Raw genomic sequence first — 6,059 nt, forward strand, 5'->3', positions numbered from 1 at the left:
AGCAGTGGCTTTGGGTTCTAATGTGTACCTTTCTTATATCAATGCTTGTAAATTACTTTCTCTCTCTCTCTCTCAGTCTCAGCAAGGAGGGAATACTAAGTTGTTGAAGGAAGCAAACATTGGCATAGTGCTTTGCAAACCACTTGGTTAGGAGCGTACTGTTAGCTAAAAGTGTTTGCATAAAATGCCCCAAGACTATACTTCAAACCCAAGACTCTAAAGAATTGTTCATTGCAAATGCTAGGGACTGAATATCTGTGTCCCTCAAAATCTATATGTTGAAACCTAACCCCCAATGTGATGGGATAGGAGGTGGGGCCTTTGGGAAGTGATCAGGTCATGAGGGAGGGGCCCTCATGACTGGGATTACAACCCTTATCAAAGAGGCCCCAGAGAGCTTCAGTTTCTTCCACCATGTGAGGAAACAGTGACAAGACACTATGAAGCAGAAAGCAGGCCTTCACCAGACACTGAATCTGCCTGCACTTTGATTTTGGAATTCCCAGCCACTAGGACTGGGAGAAATAAATTTCTGTTGTTTGAAAGTACCGAGTTTATGGTATTTTGGTATCACAGCCCAAATGGACTAAAACAATGAGGGAGGCCAGAGCAAGGAAACTTATATTAACTAGGAAGACTTCACAGCAAGGTCCTCAAGAATAGCTAGGTATTCCCCAGGGGAGGGAATCCCAGGCAAGGTGGCAGTCATGCAGAGATCCAGAGCTGGAAGAAGGGTGGAGAGGTTGAAGCGTGGAGCTAGGGCAAGATGGGAAGAGAGATGAAGTCAAACAAATGAACAGGACTCAGATCCCGCAGAGCCTTCAATGCTGCTCCAAGCAGCTTGGACTCTATGCACAGGCAATGGGAGATGCAGAAGCATGACAAGATGAGATCTACATTTTGGACAGATTTGGTCACTTTGACAAAAGTCTGGAAGAGGGGATGCAAAGGTGACATGGCACTAAAGGGAGGACCAGCTGAGGATGGATAAGCCTGGAGAACCAGGCAAAGTGCCATGTGGCAGACTGAGGAGCAGTCAGGCCTGGGAGGATGGGAGGTAAGGAAGTGTAGCAGCCACTTCTCAGTGGCCTGAGACTGCCAATGGCAGTGGGGTTGGAAACTGGAGGATGCTCTGGGTGTATTGGACAGGACTTCGGGAACTTGGGTGAATCTTGCACCCTTGACCTTGACAACATCAGAATTAATTCATCTCCAAAATATCTATTGGCACTAGGAGGATGGCCCTGGGAATACGGCTGAGAGGCAAGTGGGGCACCTGAGACACAAAATTTTGGGAGGCACTCCCTCTCTGGGCTGTGTGATAGAGAATCTGTGGTTGAGAGTGAGTACCTCCTTAAATGTTGTGCTCAAAGCACCTTGCTTGCTTCATTCTAACAAAGCAACAGGCTACTCTCATGGAGTTTATGATCTAATGGAATTTACAGACGACATGCAAATAACTCATGAACGTGATTTTACATCATGGTAAGAAACACGAGGAAGACACCAAGGTGTGGCAAATGTTTGTGGGGCAGTGGCCAGGTGGGGCAGGCCCCAGACCTTGCTAGGGGCCTGGGATGCATCCTCATCGCGATGGGAGCTGCCAGAGGGCAGGGACCCTGAAACTGTCCTCACAGGGCTCACAAGAATTATATGCCAGGCTCTGGTCAGAAATATGTTTATAATTAAGTGTTAATCAGGCTGCCATTTGGCCTACTTCCTTGTAACCAAAAGTCACACAGCACCAGGTACTGACCATTTGCACTCCCATTGTTCCTGTAGATAGGATTTCTGATGTTAGAATCATAAGGCTTTTTCTTTAAGAATTGCTTAAGATGCTCTTCAGACTCTGAATTCCAGTGGAAGAGCTAATGCCAATCAATTTAAAGACCCCTGCAGAGGAACCAAATCGGTGTGAGAATGCAGTTTCTTTAGCTCCCTGTTGCATGAATTCACCTGGCACTCTTCAACTAATCAAAGGTCCCCACACCTCAGCCCACTCCAAACCCCTTAAAATTCCTACCCCCAAACCCCTCGGGAGAGAGATTTGAGGTTTCCTCCTATCTCCTTGTTTGGCTGCTCTATGATTTTTAAACTCTTTCTCTGATGCAACCTCTGTGTCTCATTATATTGACTTGCTGTGCATTGGGCAAAAACCCATTATGGTTACAATACAACACAATTTGGTCCCCATATCTGTACAGCACTTGGCTACATGAGGAGAATGGACAGAAGGGGGCAAATTGGGAAGCCCAGAGGCCACAAGGAGGCCATGGCCATCGTCCATGCAAGAGAGGGTGATGGCTTGGACTGGGTGGGGGCCATGGGAATGGGAGGAAGAGGATAAATTTGGAGACCGTTTCTGAGACAGAGCAGCTGGGACTTGCTATTGGAGTGGAGACATGGAGAAAAAAAGGACAAGAGAAGGACAAGAGAGAATGCAAAGGCACCTGAAAGAACAATTTTCAGTGTCTCCAACTCAGAACTCGCATTTAACAACATACATTTCTAATGTTTTCTGGTTCTGTCCCTGTTTGCCATCTGCCTTCTGGTTGATGAAGCTGGTGTGAGGTCTTCAATTGCTGTCCACAGTGGTTTCTCCTGTCAGAGCCATCTTGGGTCAGGATGGCCAGGGGAGTCAAGGATGAGGAGATGCAGAGCATTCCTGAAGCTTCATGGGGATGAGAACATCATTTTAAGGCCTTCATTAATGAGAAATGTCCTCCCGTGGTGTGGGGGGAGAGAGCTTTGTGTTTGTGTGAAAGCCCATTAAACTTCATTATTTAGTTGAGAATATCCCGCTGGGAGCTGGGGAGGGGAAGAGAATCCATTTTCCCTGAGGGCTGGGGCCCTCCGAAGGTTGAAAGAAAAAAGTCCAAGTAAAAGAAAGGAAATAATCTCCTTCAAACAGTAGGTAGACCCGGCAGGAAGTCTTAGCCCTGAGTGGAAGAGCTAGAGGTTCTAGTAAGAAGGGGGCATTGTGTAGCTATAAGAGACCCAGCTTCCAGCAAGTTTCCACCCTTGCTTCCTCACTTGAGGGCAGCTCCTTGCATCCGTGGGTCTGACTTTTCTGCGGCAGCCTGGCCAAGGATTCTTGGGACTGGGGCTGGGTGGGGGTGGGAGCCTTGCCTCCCCGACCTCTGCGAGGATAAGTAAACAAGCAGGCAAGGACAAAGGCCAAGGGCATTAAATCCCAATTATTCACTAGTCCTAAATACTTCCTGTGAGAACAATTTGTCATTGACATACTTAATTAGACTCTTGACCAATAGTTTCCAGATGTGGGGATTTTTGCTAAAAAAAAAAAAAAAAAAAAAACCCAAGCACAGATGTTTTCCATATTTAATAAGACAGCTGAGGCAAACCCTTGGGGAAGAAAAAGAATAGAAGAGCTACAGGTTCTGTAATCATAACTTAGTGGATCAGGAAAGAGGATCCATTGGCCTTGGGGTCTTTCAAAACAAATAAATGTTGGCAAAGACAGAGGTCACCAGGGGCTGTCTGCTGTAGCCACGGCCCTGGGCTTCCACATCCTCTGAACTTGGAGCAGCCCTAACACTGGAAAACTCTGGGTCCATTTTACATATGTGGGCAACTGAGGAGGAAAACTCTGAGAGACCATGAGTTTGAGAGTCAGAATTTGAACCCAAGTCCCTAAGTCCTTGAGTGAAAGAAGCAAGTCAGTCATGTTGAGCAGGATACCCTGGAAGATCCTCATCTTTGGAAAACAGGGCTTCAACAGTTACGGAGTTCTTCTGCACCGCTAATCCAGGGCCAGTCCTGGGATGAGGCAAGCAAGAGACCCCTGAAAGCAACACTTAAGTGGGTGCTTGGTTTCAGGTACCCAACCCGTACTTGTGTGTCTCTGAGAGCCAGCACTTCCTTAAATTTTGCATCCTGGGTTCCTCATTTGTCTCATCCTAGTCCTGTCCCTGAATTTCCATCATTGTCACAATCTTGTCTTCCCTGACTTCTCACTTAGATTTACCCAGTTGCCTCCTAACTGGTTTCCCTGCCCTGTCTTTCCTCCTCATCTATCTGCCCTCCACTGTGACAGAGAGATCTTCCCACAGCCTGAGTTCCATCCCCGCACTCCCATGTATGAAACCCTCCCAGAACTCCCTATGGCCCTTGGGACTAGGTCACACTTCTCAGCTGGACATTCAAGGCCTTCCATCCTCAGCCGTGCTGGGCTACCCGTCAGCCTCCTGCCTTCTCTGCCTCCACCCCACAGTCTTACTCACACCCTGCAACTAGCCACAGGACTGTTTGTGCTTTCCCTGATACATTTGGCTGCTATCCTGGCCTCTGTCTCTGTAACCCAGGTGATCCCTTGGCTGAGAACTCCCTGCCTCCTCTCTTCCCACTCTGCCCCCACTGCAGCTCCTTAACAAGGAGAGCCTCTCTCTCTTCAAGACACTGCCTGTTCTGGCCGGCCCTGCTCCCTGTAGACTCTCTCCTCTTGCTTTATGTCTGCACTGTGCTCCACTCATGAGCCTCTTGTGGCAGCCAGAATGGCTGGCTTGTTCACTAGGCTGTCGCCATGGGGCAGTCCATCCCATGAGGCGAGGACTGCCACATCCCCCTTCTTATTCCTCCCCGCTCCTCTGTGGAACAGACTGAGCCAGGCAGTGGCCACTCATTTGCTGACTGAATTAATGAGGCAGTTGGGGTGGACACTCACCACACTCTACAGATGAGGAAATAGGCCGGTCTAGCAGAGATCGCAAACTCAAATGCCCCCTGGGAACAGGTGGGAGCTGTACCTGAGCGAGGCACTGGGATTGCTTACCATGCATGGGGGCTGCCAGTCCTCTGCTGGGGCCCACGGTTGTCCTGTGCAAAGTGTCACTTGTGGCTGGATCCATCATCTGGGTGAGTTATAAAAGGCAAGACAGGAAGATTATATTTGACAACTAGTTGAAATGATTTAAAACACTCTGCATGCAGCCCAAAGCAAATCCACCCGTGTGCGAGTCAGTTTCCACCTGGGGGCTGCTGGTGTGCGACCTCTGAGAGGTTGGGTGATTGTCTCGTGCACCCCAAAGTCAGGCCTTCCTCTGACTCTCTGCCCAGCACTCTCTGCACCTTCCTCTCATCACAGCTCCCATGGCAGGAACAAAGAGGTGGCATTTGAGCAAGGGGCAACAGTCAGGGACCTCCATCCCTCCGGCCTTCCCAGGTGCTCATGCCTCTTCCCTTCCCTTGGTCATGGGGCTGCTGCCTCCTTTACATTGTGACTCGCGTGGCATTTGGAGATTCAACTTGACGAAGCTCAGAAGGGAACTGGGATGCAAAGAGAAGAAGGTAATCAGGGGGTCACATTTTCTTGTGCTTGTGAAATGACCTGCTTTGGCGATAGGATAGTTTCTATCTGTTTTATACCTTCTATTCCTTTAAAATTCTCGAATTGTCAAAATCCTACCTTGGACGTGTGGCTAAAAGGGATAACCTTGCCCAACAGAGAAAGCTGGTGAACAATCACTTGTCCTCTTTTTTTTTTGGCAGAACTCCACCAGAAAGAGAAAGAAAGAGAAAGAGAAAGAGAGAGAGAGAGAGAGGGAGAGAGAGTGTGTGTGTGTTTAAAGAACAATCTTCATTTGATTATTTGATTTGTTGAAAAGAACAAGGAAGCACCAGGCCTGGGATCAGGAAACCTGGGTTCTAATCACAACAGGAGTACCTTCCATGCTCTGAGATCTTGAACTAGTCTCCTCGTTAGTAAAATGAGTGTGGGATAGAGTTTTACAGGTGATTCTGAGGGTAGCAGAGTCCTGTGTGGAAAAGCACATAATACACTGGCTGCGATATGGAGTAGGTTCTCAGTTAAGGACTCGTTGAATATGAATTAAGGAAGAGCAAAACTGGAAGGAATACTAGATATCGACTACAACAGTGGTCGATAATCTATAACCGATGGGCCAAATCTGGCTTCATACTTGTTTTTGTAAATGACGTTTTATGGCTACGCTTGTGCCACCACAGCAGAGTGGAGTAGTTGTGACAAAGACTGCATGGCCTGCAAACGCTGAAATATTTACTGTACAGAAAAAAGTTCA

At 48.0% G+C, this 6,059-nt stretch overlaps 1 annotated feature.

The window, feature by feature from the left end:
• Nucleotides 2,596–3,157: an enhancer, noted in NCBI's record as "OCT4-NANOG-H3K27ac hESC enhancer chr5:174270439-174271000 (GRCh37/hg19 assembly coordinates)". NCBI's record gives its function as "activates a minimal SCP1, AML or CMV promoter by ChIP-STARR-seq in primed H9 embryonic stem cells {active_cell/tissue: H9 hESC(primed)}" and the evidence as "EXISTENCE:reporter gene assay evidence [ECO:0000049][PMID:30033119]".

Source organism: Homo sapiens, chromosome 5, assembly GCF_000001405.40.
Source record: "Homo sapiens chromosome 5, GRCh38.p14 Primary Assembly".
Classification (NCBI taxonomy): Eukaryota; Metazoa; Chordata; class Mammalia; order Primates; family Hominidae; genus Homo; species Homo sapiens.